We start from the raw sequence: 16,414 nt of genomic DNA, 5'->3' as shown, positions 1-16,414 counted from the left end.
TGTGAGTGCCTGTCTTGAATTTGCACCCAGAGCAATCTCCCCTGATCAGCAGAGGGTAAACTAACTTGAATTACACTTGAATTTCTTAGGAGAGCAGGTCACAGAGGGCAAATTGTGGTCCAGACACAAAAGTGTCCAATGGTCTAAAATGAGCCTGCCATATCACTTAGGGTACAGGTTTTAACACAAATACATTTCAGAAAGGGGTCAAACCCTTGTTTAAAGATAAATGTAAGCTGGCTGTGGAGGCATACGTCTATAATTCCAGCTACTCAGGAGGCTGAGGCAGGAGGATCCCTTGAGTTCAGGAGTTTAAGACCAGCCTGGACAACATAGGAAAATCCCATCTCAATTTTTAAAAATGAGAAAAAAATAGATAAACTTAAGCATATTAACATTTTAAAGAGTTTCTTAAGCAAACAGAGATTCACGGATCAGCCAGCTCCAAACTGAAAGTGGTTGGAGGATCTACTGGAGGCGTTTGTAGGGAAGGCTTTTATAGGGTGAATATAGAAGTAGAGTAGAGCAATTATTTGTTTGGCAAAAATTTGGGCAGTTGCATTATTTGAACTATCCTGGTGGTAGGTCTCTCATTATGCAGCTAATACTCAGTGGGCCACTTGGTGGACTAAGGTTGTTTCATTTTGTCTATGTACGAACCCAGGCCATGGGAGCTATCTCAGCCTAATGCTCTCCCATTACATTATTTTACACCTCTCTGTATCAGGGTAAGCGGGGATCTTCCCCACGAGGCTTCTTACCACCCTGTTTCCCTCAGCAAAATGAAACTGTCCCTTTTGCCTCTGTAGGCAATCTTCTGAACAGGGCTTTCCTAATATTCTTAGCTCATCTTATTTTATCTTATCCTCTTCTCTGTACCTTGTTTACATGCTTCTGGAACACTTGTGTGTCTTGCACACATCCCCTGCATTATTCAGGCAATACTAGGATGGATTGGTAGAGAACTGCTGGCATATTGAGCCCTCTCTCCTTGTATCTGGAACTTTCATAATTACCTTTGTTCTCCAGACCAGTTTTGCAATTATCTTCATTCTCCACTTCAAAATACATTTACCTCTGACAGAAGCTGAGCACATAAAAGGGACCTTGTCCAGTGGTACATATGAGGCAGGAGACATGATATAGTTAAAATTATAAACTAAAAGCTTTCTGACACCAAAAGCATAAGTAACAAAAGAAAAAAATAAGTAAATTGGACTTCACCAAAATTTAAAACTTTTGTGCAATCAGAGGACAACTGGCAGAATGGAAGAAAATATTTCAAATAATATCTTTGATAAGGGATCAATATGCAGAATATATAAAGAATTCCTACAACTCAACAATAAATAAACAACCCAATTAAAAAGTAGGCAAAGGACTTACATAGAAAATTTCCCAAAAAAGATATACAAGTGGCCATCAAGCACATGAAAGATGCTCAACATGACTGATTACTAAGGAAATGCAAATCAAAACCATAGTAAGATATCACTTCATACACATGAGGATGGCAATCATCAAAAAAGCAGGGAATAACAAGTGTTGGTGAGGATGTAACCAAGTCGAAACTCTTGTACATTGCCGGTGGACTCTACAGCAGTATAGTCAGGGTGGAAAAGAGTACAGTGGTTCCTAAATTAAAAATAAATGGAACATAGGCTGGGCTCAGTGGCTCGTGCCTGTTATCCCAGCACTTTAGGACACCGAGGTGGCCAGATCATGAGGTCAGGAGTTAAAGACAAGCCTGACCAACGTGTTGAAACCCTGTCTCAACTAAAAATACAAAAATTAGCTGGGAGTGGTGCTGTGTGCCTGTAATCCCAGCTACTCAGGAGGCTGAGGCAGCAGAACCACTTGAATCTGGGAGGTGGAGGTTGCAGTGAGCCAAGAGAGTCAGACTCCATCTCAAAAATAAATAAATAAATAAATAAATAAATAAATAAATAAATAAATAAAAATGAAACATAGAATTACTATGTCAATTAGCAAGTCCACTTCTGGGTTTAAACCCACAAAAATTGAAAGCAGGGACTTCAACAGATATTTGTAAATTCATGTGTATAGCAACATTATTCATGATAGCCAAAAGGTGGAAGCATTCATTGACAGAGGAATGGATAAACAAAATGTGGTACAGATATACAGTGGAACATTACTTAGCCTTAAAAAGGGACATTCTGTGGAATGTGGTTTGAAAACCACTTCTGTAAGGTGTTGTGTAAATGTACAAAATCCAAACCAGGGTAATAACCTCAAAATATAAAATTTAACTTATAATATTAAGACCCTGATAAATTTCACTCTCTGCTTCATAGCAAATAATTTGTTTTGAATGCAGACATATTTTGTTAAGTAGAAGACTGTGCACTAAAATACAGTCCTTAAACAAAAATCCTATGTATAAAACCACATATTTTCTATTGATTTGCATTTTTTAAATGTAAAAAAGGATTCACATTTCTATGTGTAAAATGCCAGACTCAAAATACTTTTACTGCTATGATTCCATGTCTTATTTACTGAGGAGGCAAACCATACTAACCCAGAATCAGGGTTTTGTGACCATCCATTTTAAATATAATTGCCTCTAATATTTCTAAGTCCCCGTTCTGCAACCCTGTGGCTCTTTTAAATTTGAGAAACAGTTTTGATGGGCCCTGTATTGAGTATTATTATTTTCCAGAGGTACTATTAATAGTTTATGGCCAGACCATCCATCCCTGAGTTTCCATTAAAAGAAAGAGGGTATATGGCACTGTAACTTTTTCCCACCATTGACCATCTGTCCTTGCTCCTCAGGAGCTCCCCATGCCTCCCTGTGTATGTCTATCCCTGCAAATGCCAAGGATATGGAATAAGTGAGCCTACTGCCCCTGTGGCACTGCAGGGGGACTCCTTGGTGAAGCGTCTACATCTATCTGATGTCTCCTCACTTCTTCAATCTGCTCGCTAATGTAGAATTAGGTCAGGCACAAGCTATCACAAAAAAAGAAACATAGAGTGTTTGATGTCCACAAATGTATTCACTGTAGGTAACTTAGAAATACATATACACAAAATCCAAACCAAATATACACCCTAAATATCACCACTAGAAAAAACTATTTTGGAATACTTACAGTACTCTCATTGTTATTTTAATTAGTCACTTGTGATCTCTTTTACTTAAAACGTAAAAACTGTGTACTAAATGATTTTTTAAGATACGCAATTGGTAGAAAAATCTAATCTACTATTTTCACAAAACTTCAACACAATAAACACTTATTGCAAAAGTGGAAGCATTCCCTTTGAAAACTGGCACAAGACAAGGATGCCCTCTCTCACCACTCCTATTCAGCATAGGATTGGAAGTTCTGTCCAGGGCAATCAGGCAAGAGAAAGAAATAAAAGGTATCCAATAGGAAGAGAGGAAGTCAAATTGCCTCTGTTTGCAGATGACATGACTGTATATGTAGAAAACCCCATCGTCTCAGACCCAAAACTCTTTAAGTTGCAAAGTATCAGGATGCAAAATCAAAGTGAAAAAATCACATGTATTCATATACACCAATAATAGACAAGCAGAGAGCCAAATAATGGGTCAATTCCCATTCACAATTGCTACAAAGAATAAGCTACCAAGGAATAGAACTTACAAGGGACGTGAAGGACCTCTTCAAGGAGAACTGCAAACCACTGCTCAAGAAAATAACACAGGACACAAATAAATGGAAAAAAAAAGTCCATACTCATGGATAGGAAGAATCAATATAATGAAAATGGCCATACTGCTCAATGTAATTTATAGATTCAATGCTATTCCTATCAAGCTACTATTGACTTTCTTCACAGAATTAGAAAAAAAAAAACACTTTAAATTCCATATGGAACCAAAAAAGAGTCCATATAGCCAAGATAATCCTAAGCAAAAAGAACAAAGTTGGAGGCATCACGCTACCTGACTTCAAACCGTACTACAAGGCTATGGTAACCAAAACAGCATGGTTTTGGTACCCAACAAATATATAGACCAATGGAACAGAACAGAGACCTCAAAAATAATACCACACATGTACAACCATCTGGTCTTCCACAAACCTGACAAAAACAAGCAACAGGGAAAGGATTGCCTATTTCATAAATGGTGCTGAGAAAACTGGCTAGCCATATGCAGAAAACAGAAACTGGGCCCCTTCCTTACACCTTATAAAAATTAACTCGAGACAGATTAAAGACTTAAAACCACAAAAACCCTAGAAGAAAGCTTAGCCAATACCGTTCAGGATGAAGGGATGAGCAGACTATGACTAAAACACCAAAAGCAATTGCAACAAAAGCCAAAATTGACAAATGGAATCTAATTGAACTAAAAAGCTTCTGCACAGCAAAAGAAACTATCATCAGTGTGAACTGGCAACCTAAAGAATGGGAGAACATTTCTGTGATCTACCCATTGGAAAAAGGTCTAATATCCAGAATCTACAAGGAACTTAAACAAATTTACAAGAAAAAAACAATCCCATCAAAATGTGGGTGAAGGATATAAGCAGACACTTCTCAAAAGAAGACATTGAGGGCCGGGCATGGTGACTCATGCCTGTAGTCCCAGCACTTTGAGAGGCTGGGGTGGGTGGATCACCTGAGGTCAGGAGTTCAAGACCAGCCTGGCTAACATGGTGAAACCCCGTTTCAACTAAAAATACAAAAAATTAGCTGGGCATGGTGATGCATGCCTGTAATCCCAGCTACTTGGGAGGCTGAGGCAGGAGAATCACTTGAACCCAGGAGGCGGAGGTTGCAGTGAGCCGAGATCGTTCTGTTAACTACTCCAGATTGGGCAACAAGAGCGAAAATCCGACTCAAAAAAAAAAAGGGCATTTATGCAGCCAATAAACATATGAAAAAACGCTCATCATCACTGGTCATTAGAGAAATACAAATCGAAACCACAGTGAGATACCATCTCATGCCAGTTAGAATGATGATTATTAAAATGTCAGGAAACAACAGATTCTGGCAAGGCTGTGGAGAAATAGGAATGCTTTTACGCTGTTGGTGGGAGTGTAAAGTAGTTCCACCATTGTGGAAGACAGTGTGGCAATTCCTCAATGATCTAGAGCCAGAAATACTATTTGACCCAGCCATCTCATTATGGAGTATATACCCAACAGATTATAAATCATTCTACTATAAAGACACATGCACACATATGTTTATTGCAGCACTATTTACAATAGCAAATACTTGGAACCAATCCAAATGCCCATCAATGATAGACTGGATAAAGAAAATGTGGCATGTATACACCATGGAATACTATGCAGCCATAAAAAAGAATGAGTTCATGTCTTTTGCAGGGACATGGATGAAGTTGGAAGCCACCATTCTCAGCAAACTAACACAGGAACAGAAAAACAAACACTGCATTTTCTCAGTCATAAATGGGAGTTGAACAATGAGAACACATGGACACATGGAGGGGAACATCACACACCAGGGCCTGTTGGAGGGTGTGGAGCAAGAGGAGGGAGAGCATTAGAATAAATACCTAATGCATGTGTGACTTAAAACCTAGATGATGGGTTGATAGGTGCTGCAAACCATCATGGCACATGTGTACCTATGTAACAAACCTGCATGTTCTGTACATGTTCTGTCCCAGAACTTAAAGAAAAAAAATAATAAAAGAGAGAAAATCTCTTAAAACTTCATAGAATCTCTAACTTTATTAATACAGTCAGCATACAATAAGGTAATCATAAAGGTATCATGAGAAATAAAATTTCATGAAAGCATATGTTTGTAGAAATAGCTTGTTTCAGGAAAAACATAGTCTTATTTTTAAAAAATTGTCCATAATATTTTATGGCATAAAATATCTTCTTTTCTGCCAGCCATGTATATCTTTACAGAATACACATAGTAATCAACTAATAGGCAATCCTCATCAGGATCAACGAAAATCAATTGTTAAAGTAATATAAATTAATATACATTTATTAGGGAAATTCCATGAATTATCTTTTGGACCAAAAACTATCTAGTCTGTAAATGGATCAGGTTTAGCGCGTTTACAGGGTAGGTACTGAGGCCAGAAACATTCAAGAGAGAGATTCGGACTTCAGAAAGACAAACTTGAGAGAGTTAGCTGCAGAACAAAAGCACTAATTCAGGACTGGTGGAATAGGATAGCATAGAAAAGACATGGGGAAGAAGAGAATATTTGTTTCCATGCATGCATGTATTGACACAAGCAAGCTTCCATCAAAAAATGACTTTCTTCTAAAGGTTCATAGGGCATAAACATTAACATTTTTCCTTTACTGCCTCACAGATCAGCTTTTCCTCCAAAGATTCTCTTTCTGGAAAAGTAAAGTCCAGAAAGAGAAATATTTAATTGTTATAGTCATAAAAATTATACTTATTCACTAATGCTGCAGCCAGGGTAGAAGAGAGAGAAGTTCCAACTTTAGCCATACTTTCATCAACTTTTCCTTCTACTTTTAAAGACAAGCATACAGGAATGAAAGTGAGTGTTGTTATTCTGGAGAAATTCTCTTAAATTTATGAAAGAACAAATTGCTCATAATTATGAGATTTTGTAATCAGTAACACATTTCTTATTATAGTTTTTATCAGTGTGCCTCAACTGGGAAGGTTGAGACTTTCTGCTTAACATGATACCATATTACAGCCATGCGCCACATAACAATGTTTGGTCAATGACAGACTTGTATATATGATGGTAGACCCATAAGACTATCTTACTGTATTTTACTGTACCTTTTCTATGTTGTTGCTTGTTTAGAAACACAAATATCTACCATTGTGTTACAATTGCCTACAGTATTGAGTAAAGTAACATGCTATAAAGTTTTGTAGCCTAGGAGCAATAGGTTATACCATATTGCCTAGTTGTGTAGTAGTGGGCTGCAATTTAGGTTAGTGTAAGTACACTCTACGATGTTTGCAGGAAAATGAAATTGTCCAACAACGTATTTTTCAGAAAGTATCTCTGTTATTAAGCAATGCATTTTATTCCCCCTCCCTTCTTACTCACCTGACTCCTCATTTTTTCATACCTTGCTTAACTCATCATTTGTCAATTCTTGCCAGTTCTTACTCCTCTGCAGTGTATTTAACATTCATCCTTTCACTATCATTTCCATTGTCATGTCTCAAATTTCTATTCTCTGTCATCTGGAAAATTGCAAAGTTTCCATGATATGGCACATTGGGGCCTGAGAATATTTATATGTACATTTTCCACTTCTATTGCACTCTGTCATGAAATTCAGTGACCACAGTAGTTCCTTGTTCAAAAGCCACCAATGGCTTTAAAGCACTTATCTAAAAGTGTTCAAGTAGCCTGGTCAAATATCAACATAGCTTACAGTGATTTCACTCTTATTCTACATAAAGGTTACGATTTAATCTGGACGTATCATGTTCTTTCCTGATTCTTATCAGACCATTTCTTCTGTCCTCTAGAATATAGATTTCATGTGGCCGGAAAATTTTTCTGTTTTGTTCTCTGCTATACTCACGGTCCCTAATGATGTGCAAATATTAATAGTGAGAATTTTTTAATGAATCAGTTCATAAATACATGAATATTTAAAATAGTTTTGTCCACATTTTTTAACCTCTGGAAATCCCCCACTTTTTATTTTTGAATGCCGTTGACCACAGTGAGTGGTTTGGTCTCATCATAAGGGAAGACGGATCAGAATGAGTAAGAATTCTTTGATGAGTTTTAGGAAAGTGGAAAGATGTCCTGTTATTGTTTATTCAACAAATGCTTACTGACTAACTCCTGTGTTCAAGGACCTGATTCCGTTGTTTCTATCTTCAAAGGCCTCAAAATCTAGAACTTGAGATAGAAAGAAAACCTACATAGGATATCTTGTTTATTTCAATATTTTGATATTTAATCATAAAATAAAATGAAAAAACATAGAAGTCAGTTATTTTGTTTACTTGGGTACATTGGAGAATCTCTGAAAAGGTCACTCAGAAGCCAGATTTGAAGTTAGTAGAAAATGTAAGTGAATGAGACACAAAAAGCCATTTAACCATTTAAAAAGATTAGACATTTTGACTATCGCAAAATTAAGAACTTTTTACATCAAAAAGTGGAAAGATAGGCTGGGCACGGTGTCTCAAGCCTGTAACCCCAATAATACATCACCTGAGGTCAGGAGTTTGAGACCAGGCTGGCCAACATGGTGAAACCTCGTCTCTCCTAAAAATACAAGAAATTAGCTCAGCATTAGTGGCAGATACCTGTAATCCCAGCTACTCAGGAAGCTGAGGCACGAGAATCATCTGAACGCTGGAGGTGGAGGTTGCAGTGAGCCACTGCACTCCAGCCTGAATAACAGAGCTAGACACTGTCTCAAAAAAAAAAAAAATTAAAAAATAAAAGTAAAAAAGTGAAAAGATAAACTATAAATTAGAAGATATTTGCAGCACCTAAAACCTATGAAAGATTAAAATCATATCAACTAAATATAAGGAACTCCTATGAATTAATTTTAAAAATAGCAACCCAACAGAAAATTGGGAAAATACATCAATAGGGATTTCACAAAAGAGAAAGCCTGCAGAATGTAAAAAATTTCTCAACCTCATTAGTAATCAGGAAAATGCCCAAGATACTACACATCTATTCTCCCCACAAATATTAAGAAGTCTGACAATACCCAATGTATTAGTCCACATTCACACTGCTGATAAAGACACACCTGAGACAGGGAAGAAAAAGTGGGTTAATTGTATTTAGGGTTCCTCATGGTTGAGGAGGCCTCAGAGTTATGACGGTGGATGAACAGCACTTCTTACATGGCAGTGGCAAGAGAATATGAGAAGGAGGCAAAAGAAGCAAAAGATGAAACCACTGATAAACCCAAAAGATAATGTGAGATTTATCCACTATCAAAAGAATAGCATGGGAAAGACTGGCCCCAAAGATTCAACTACCTCCCCCTGGTTCCCTCCCCGAACATGTGGGAATTCTGAGCAATACAATTCAAGTGAGATGTGGGTAGGGACAGAGTCAAACCATATTTTTCCACTCCTGGCCCCTCCAAATCTCATGTCCTCTCCAAATCTCATGTCCTCACATTTCAAATCCGATCATGCCTTCCCAACCGTCCCCCAAAGTCTTAACTCATTTCAGCATTAACCCAAATGTCCCCTGTCTGAAATCTCATCTGAGACAAGGCAAGTCTCTTCTGCCTATGACCCTGTAAAATCCAAATCAAGCTAGTTACTTCCTAGATACAGTGGGGGTACAGGTAATTGAGTAAATGCAGCTGTTCCAAATGGCATAAATTGGCCAAAACAAAGGGGTTACAGGCCCCATGCAAGTCTGAAATCCAGCAAGGTAGTCAAATTTTAAAGCTCCAAAATGATCTCCGTTGACTTCATGTTTCATATCAAGCTCTTGCTGATGCAAGAGGTGGGCTCCCACAGCCTTGGGTAATTCTGCCCCTGTGGCTTTGCAGGGTATAGCCCACCTCCTGGCTGCTTTCATGGGTTGATGTTGAGTGACTGCAGCTTTTCCAGGCTCACAGTGCATCTACCATTCTGAGGCCTGGAGGAGAGTGACCCTCTCCTCACAGCTCCACTAGGAAGTGCCCCAGTAGGGACTATTTGTAGGGGCTCCAACCCCACATTTCCCTTCTTCGCAGCCCTAGCAGAGGTTCTCCATCAGAGCACCACCGCTGCAGCAAACTTCTGCTTGGACATCCGGGAATTTTCATACATCCTCTGAAATCTAGGTGGGGGTTTCCAAACCTCAATTCTTGACTTCTATGCATGCGCAGGCTCAACACCATGTGGAAGCTGCCAAGGCTTGGTGTTTGCACTCTCAAGGCCAAGGCCTGAGTTCTATGTTGGCCCCTTTCATCCATGGCTGGAGGGGCTGAAACACAGAGAACCAAGGCCCTAGGCTGCACACAGCACAGTCAACCTGGGCCCAGCCCAGAAAGCCATTTTTTTCCTCCTAGGCCTCTGGGCTTGTGATGGGAGGGGCTGCTGTGATGACCTGTGACATGTCCCATAGAAATTTCCCCTATTGTTTTGGGGATTAACATTCAGCTTCTCGTTACTTATGCAAATTTCTGTAGACTGCTCTAATTTATCCTCAGAAAATGGGATTTTCTTTTCTATCACATTGTCAGGCTGCAAATTTTCCAAACTTGTATGCTCTGCTTCCTTTATAAAACCTAAGGCCTTTAGCATCACCCAAGTCACCTCTTGAATGCTTTACTGCTTAGAAATTTCTTCCAGCAGATAACCTAAATCATCTCTCTCAAGTTCAAAGTTCCACAAATCCCTAGGGCAGGGGCAAAATGCTGCCATTCTCTTTGCCAAAACATAATGAGAGTCACCTTTGCTCCAGTTCCCAACAAGTTCCTCATCTCCATCTGAGACCACCTCAGCCTGGACCTTATTGTTCAAAACACTATCAGCATTTTTGTCAAAGCCATTCAACAAGTCTCTAGGAGGTTCCAAAATTTCCCACCTTTTCCAGTCTTTTTCTGAGCCCTCCAAACTGATCCAACTTCTGCCTGTTACCAAGTTTCAAAGTCGCTTCCACATTTTTGGGTATCTTTTCTGCAGCACCCCACACCACTGGTATCAATTTACTATATTAGTCCGTTTTCACACTGCTGATAAAGACATACCCAAGTCTGAGAAGAAAAAGAGGTGTAAAGGAAAAGAACTGTAATTGGATTTACAGTCCCACATGGTGGGGGAGGCCTCAGAGTCATGGTAGGAGGTGAAAGGGACTTCTTAAATGGCAGCAGCAAGAGAAAATGAGGAGGAAGCCAAAGCAGAAACCCATGAGAAACCCATCAGATCTCATGAGGCTTATTCACTATCATGAGAATAGCACAGGAAAGACTGGCCTCCATCATTCAGTTACCTCACTCTGGGTCCCTCCCACAACATGTGGGTATTCTGGGAGATAGAATCCAAGCTGAGATTTGAGTGGGGACATAGCCAAACCATATCACCAAATATGGAGAGACTGTGGATCAACAAGATCATTTCGAACTAATACAGGAGGTGAGAGTTTAAATTAGAACAACCACTTTGGAAAACAATTTGGATTATCTCATAAAGTTGAGCATTCTCATATGTTAGGGCAAAGTAATTTCTCTACCATAGGCCCTGGAGAAACTCTTGCCCATATGTACCAGAAGTAGTAGAAAAATAAATGCTAATGTAATGCCATTCATAATAGCGAATATATGGAAACAAGCCAGATTTTCATTAATAGGAGAATGGGTAAATTAATAGAAGAATGGGTAAATAAATTATACCCTTAAAAAACTAAATAATATGTCATTTAGGGCAATCATATATATGCAATAAAACAATGTTTTTTTAAAGGCAGGGAATCCTAAACATAAATTCAGGGTAGTAGTTACCCTGGGACTGAAGGGTGTAAATCAGGAAAAAGGACAGAGGAGGAGCAGATGTTAGGGTCAGAACCCTAGTTCTTGGGTTGTGTTGTGGGTTCACAAGTGATTACCATATTATTCAAATACATTCAAATACATTTACATACAGGCCCAGGCACAGACAAAGATGAAATAGGAGCCAAGGTATGCTATGAGCCAAGGAATATGATTAATCAAATTTTGTGCACTTTAAGCCATTTGAAAAACAGAAAAGCAAAACAACAAAATAATTTTTTAAAAAATTGAATATAGAGTGCTATGTTCTGAATGTGTTCCCCTAAAATTAATCACAAAGTTATAAGATTAGGAAGTAGGGCCCTCAGGTAGTGATTCAGTCATGAAGGGAGAATCTTCATGAATGGGTTCAGGGTCCTTATGCAAGGACTGGAGGGAGTGGGCTTCTCCTGTTTTGCCCTTCTGCCTTCTGCCATGTGAGGGCACAGTGCATCTCCTCCTGAAGACACAGTGCACAAGCTACCATCTTGGATGCAAAGGCCAGGTCCTCACGAGACACCAATCCTGCTGGCACCTTGATCTTGGACTTCCAGCCTATGGAACTGTGAGAAATAATTTCTCTTCTTCAGAAATTACCCAGCCTATTGTATTTTCTTATACAGTAGCACAAACTCATTAAGGCATAATGCCTCCTGTCATTTTCTTCTACAATTTTCTTTGTTGCCTCTTCAGCACTGGGTCATTTTATATTTGATCCTTCATAATATCTCTTACTTTTGGTTTTTCACATTTCTGTTCCAAGTGTATTCTTAGATACATATTTTTCACTATTTGTTAGTATCCAGGTCAGAAAGTCCAGGTTACATTCTTTTAAGGGTTTAGTTTCTGCAACAATGAAGTATTAATGCCTCCTGTAAACTAGGTATTTCCTTTCCAATTGTAACTGCTATCTGGAAGCAAAGTGGAATTACAGGCTAGGAGTGTGGGGTTGATATTTAGTGTATCTAGAGTATGGCTAAATGCTGGTTTTTAATCACACAGATACATCAATTGCTTGGCACACTAGGGTATCAGTTGCTAGTTATCTCTATTTATCCATGCTGTTACAGAGGGAAAGTACAGACTGTGAGGTTGGACCAGCTGTTATACCCATATTTGGGGAGCTTTGATTTTTTTTAACCTTCAGCTGCTTTACTGTCACACGTAGCAGCTCAGGTGAAAAGCACTTTTACCGTGGGGACTTTCCCTTAGTGCTCTGTGATGCACAAGAGCAGACCTATGTAGAAGCATTTAAGTATTTTGTGCATCAACAGGACAATTAAAGGAACAAATTCTTATTGTATCTTTTAGTCCTGAAGACAAAACCACAGTGACAGTAACTAGGTCAAGGCATTGTATTCAGAGAGGGTCAGCCTTGGTCTTTGAGAGTGAGACCCCTTTACCCCACTGTCAAGACTCACTGAGCAGACGGGAACGTTCAGGCGGAACATGCAGTGAATAGCAAACACGGTGGGGGGCGCTCACTGTCATGCACTGCCATGCCTGCCGTGGTCAGCAGACCTCTTCTACTTGACAACAGGCAGGTTGAGAAACATTTTCTTGGAGAGTTTCTTGATTCTTGCCAGTTGTGGCAGGATGGACTGACTTAGAGGAGCTCAGGAAGGTTGTTAAACAACACAGAAACACAAGATGAATTGTACTCCTCAGCAGGCCTAGGTTAGAGCAGCAGGTACTTGAAGCCTCAGCCACTCCTGGGACACAACATAATGTCCCTAATGATTTGAAATTTGGTGGAAAGTGGGTCACTAATCCCTGTGCCCAGGGACAAAAAGACATCAACAGCAAAAAGTGATAAAATAAGTGGGCCTAACATCTGCTTGTGGGAGGTAGGGATTTAAGATATAAGAATTTAGCTGCAGGAGCAAGCTCACACCTGTAATCTCAGCACTTGGGGAGGCCAACGCAGGAGGACAGTTGGAGCCCAGGAGTTTGACATGAGCCAGGCAACGTAGTAAGTCCCCATTCGTACAAAAATGTTTTTGGAGAAAAGTAGTTGAGTGTGGGGGCACATGCCTGTAGTCCCAGGTACGTGGGAGGCTGAGGCAAGAAAATTGCTTCAGCCTGGGAGATTGAGGCTGCAGTGAGCTCTGATCACCACAATGCACACCAGCCTGTGAGTCCGGAGACCCGAGCTGGCGCCTTGAAGCGGGGTCCCCCTGCACCGGTAGAAGTCGGCTCAAGGAGGTTCTGAGAACAGGTCTCCCGGGGGTCCGGCCCTGGAGGACCCGAAGCCCCCACTCCCATAACGCCCCTTACTACATCCCCACTCCAGCCGCCACTGCGACTGCCACAGAACCCCCGCCACGTGTTGCTGAACCTGTTTAAAGCGGCCACAGCCGGAGTTCGAAGAGCAAAGCAGGAGTCCGCCTGGGCAATGCGCATGCGGGAGGCACGAGCCCATTCTCCCGTGACGGTGACTCCAACGGTTGGCTGAGGACGATTCCCTGAGCCTTGACAAAGCAGGAGCCCTCCGTGGCGGTGCGTCGGTGTCGAGGCTCCAGTCTGACTAATCCAGGGGGTCGACAAAACAGATTCGGGACACTATGCTACACGGAGGGCCTACCAGGATGCAGAAACAGCAGACGGAGTCCAGGGAAAGCAGTGCGGCATCCCAGCCTCAGGCCTGCCCGTACGGTGTTCGGGTGAGTCCCCCCAAAGTCGTGCCCCCCGTGATCTCGAGGACAGGTCTGCCCGTGTGCCCAAGGACTACTCTCTCACCCGAGGGTCATTCTCACAAACAGCAGAAACCCGCAGCCTCAGTGATTGCCTGGGGGTTGTGTGTCTCTGCCACTGCTGTATGTCTGGGTGCGTGTGTCTCCCATTCTCTCTTCTCTCTGTCACTCACTCTCTGTTTCTCTCACTTTCTCTGTCTCTCTGTGTGTGTGTGCCCGTGAGCGTGTGTGTTTATGTGCCCAGTGCGCTACAAAGCGGTCTCTTGCATGTCAGCGTGTCTTTAGTGGGCCTCTGTCTGCGTCTCTGCCTGGGTCATGTGGGCGGTTGTCAATCATTTCCGCGGCGGTTCCACTTTGGCTTTCTGAAGACCTCGACAATGTGAGAAGCTTCGGTCTCAAAGAAACCGAAATTTCATCACGATCCTGAGCTACCTCTTTTGTAGAATCAAGATGACCACACTCGAACCAAAAAAAAAAAAAAAAAAAGGTAAAAGGAGCTCATTGTTTTCCAGGAGGGGAGGAGACCAATGTGAAAGGAGATGGTTCTATCTCCTCGCGGCTCTTCTCTGAGAAATGAAGCCACGATACGAAACAATCTTCAAGAAGAAGCTGAAAACCGGATATGACACGGATGTCCCCAGAACACAGCAGGCATCCTGAAGCTCCGCCTCCTGAAGCTCCCCCTCCCTCGGTGGAAGTCGGCTCAGGGAGGTCCTGAGGACAGGACTCCTGGGGGTTTGGCTGCAGAATGAATTCATTAGGACTTTATATAATTTTTCAAATCATGAAATTGCGCAAGCTTTTGAATATGGAATTGGGAGGGCTTTCAGTTCATTCAGTAGAAAACTGGAACATTTTTGAAAGGTGATCTGCTTGACACCTTTCAAAGAGCACAAAACCTTGTGAAGTAGCAGATGCAATGATTACCAATGTACTTTATAAAATGACTTTCAGAGTTTGAGATGAAATTGGCTTTTCTGAAATATGTAAGTCTCTGGAAAAACTCAACATTTCTAATCTTGCTTTGGAAAGCCTTTAAGTATGTAAAAATCAATTTCTTATATCTTCTCTGAAATAAACATGGAATATCCTAAGGTTTTGTTCATGTTTCATGAATTTCACAGCATTCATCATATTTTAAAGTTATTTTTGATACTTTGCATTGTATTAAAATCTGTCTTGGAATGAGAGGCCTGAAAAACAATCATAATATACTGTTGTTGTCTAACAATATATCAAGTTTTTAATGACTCTTACGATGCAATATTTTTATCATTCTTGTAGTTTATCCACGTGTATTTAATATTACTAGCAGAAATTTAGATTTTAGTAAATTAATTCTGATCTTTGTAAAATAAAATACTTTAGTTTTCAATCTATATCTATTAATTCTTTAGTCCATGAATCCATCTAGCAATTATTATTGAACAAGTTCTAGGAGATAAGTACTATACAGTTGCTAAGAATTCTGAAAGATCATCTTATACCTATTATACAGAAGCAGAGCGAGACAAATGAACCAAAACTTACATAACACTGTGACATGTGTTTCAAGTTTAAACATCTTAAAAAATACATTTCATAAAACTAAAGATAAAACTTGATACTTGTTTCTACTACATTTGGTTTTATGTACTTAGGCATATTATTTTTGAGTCTGATATTAAATAAGCCAACGTATGTTTGCAGTCTATATCTTTATTCATGCCTTTGATTAAAAATTGAATAAGCAAGATCTAAAGGAAAATAACATACTGAATATGTGACTAGAAACCTCTCTCCAAGTGACCAGGCTGGGCAAAATGCTGAAATCCCATCTCTACCAAAAAATAAGATGTGGTGGTGCACCCCTGTAGCCCCAGCTATGCTGGTGGCTACTCAGGAGGCTGAGACAGGAGGCTCACTCGAGCTCAGAAGGTAGAGGCTACAGTGATCTATGACTGCCACTGCACTCAGCCTGACTGACAAAGTGAGACACTGTCTCACAAAAAAGGGAAGGAAACCTCTCTCTAAGATGAAAAAGGAGTAAGAGGGTTTTTAAGGCACACATCCCCAGTGAGGCAGATTAAATCAATATGAACTTAAAATCCTTCCTAAACAATATTTACTTCACTTACATTGTTCTGCTATACAAAATCAAAGTATTCCTCTTAGAAAAAATATTTACCAAATTTTCCTTTAGTATACCAATTGTGATACAATTATGCCACTTCTCTTTAATCCTGCCTAGTAGTCCATGCTATCTGGTATAGTGTTCAAGTGTGC

General features: G+C 40.1%; 1 long non-coding RNA gene across 1 annotated transcript; it reads left to right on the top strand.

Moving 5' to 3' along the window:
* Nucleotides 1-13,793: 13,793 nt before the first annotated feature.
* On the top strand, nt 13,794-15,528 carry LOC124904967 (uncharacterized). The gene is made up of 2 exons (XR_007067751.1): nt 13,794-14,119; nt 14,662-15,528. It is a non-coding gene; the product is annotated as an uncharacterized LOC124904967 (long non-coding RNA).
* The last annotated feature ends 886 nt before the right edge of the window (nt 15,529-16,414 follow it).

The sequence above is a fragment of the Homo sapiens genome, chromosome 20 (genome assembly GCF_000001405.40).
Source record: "Homo sapiens chromosome 20, GRCh38.p14 Primary Assembly".
Classification (NCBI taxonomy): Eukaryota; Metazoa; Chordata; class Mammalia; order Primates; family Hominidae; genus Homo; species Homo sapiens.
The sequence above is the reverse complement of the archived record's forward strand: the minus strand, read 5'-3'. Positions and strand labels throughout refer to the sequence as shown.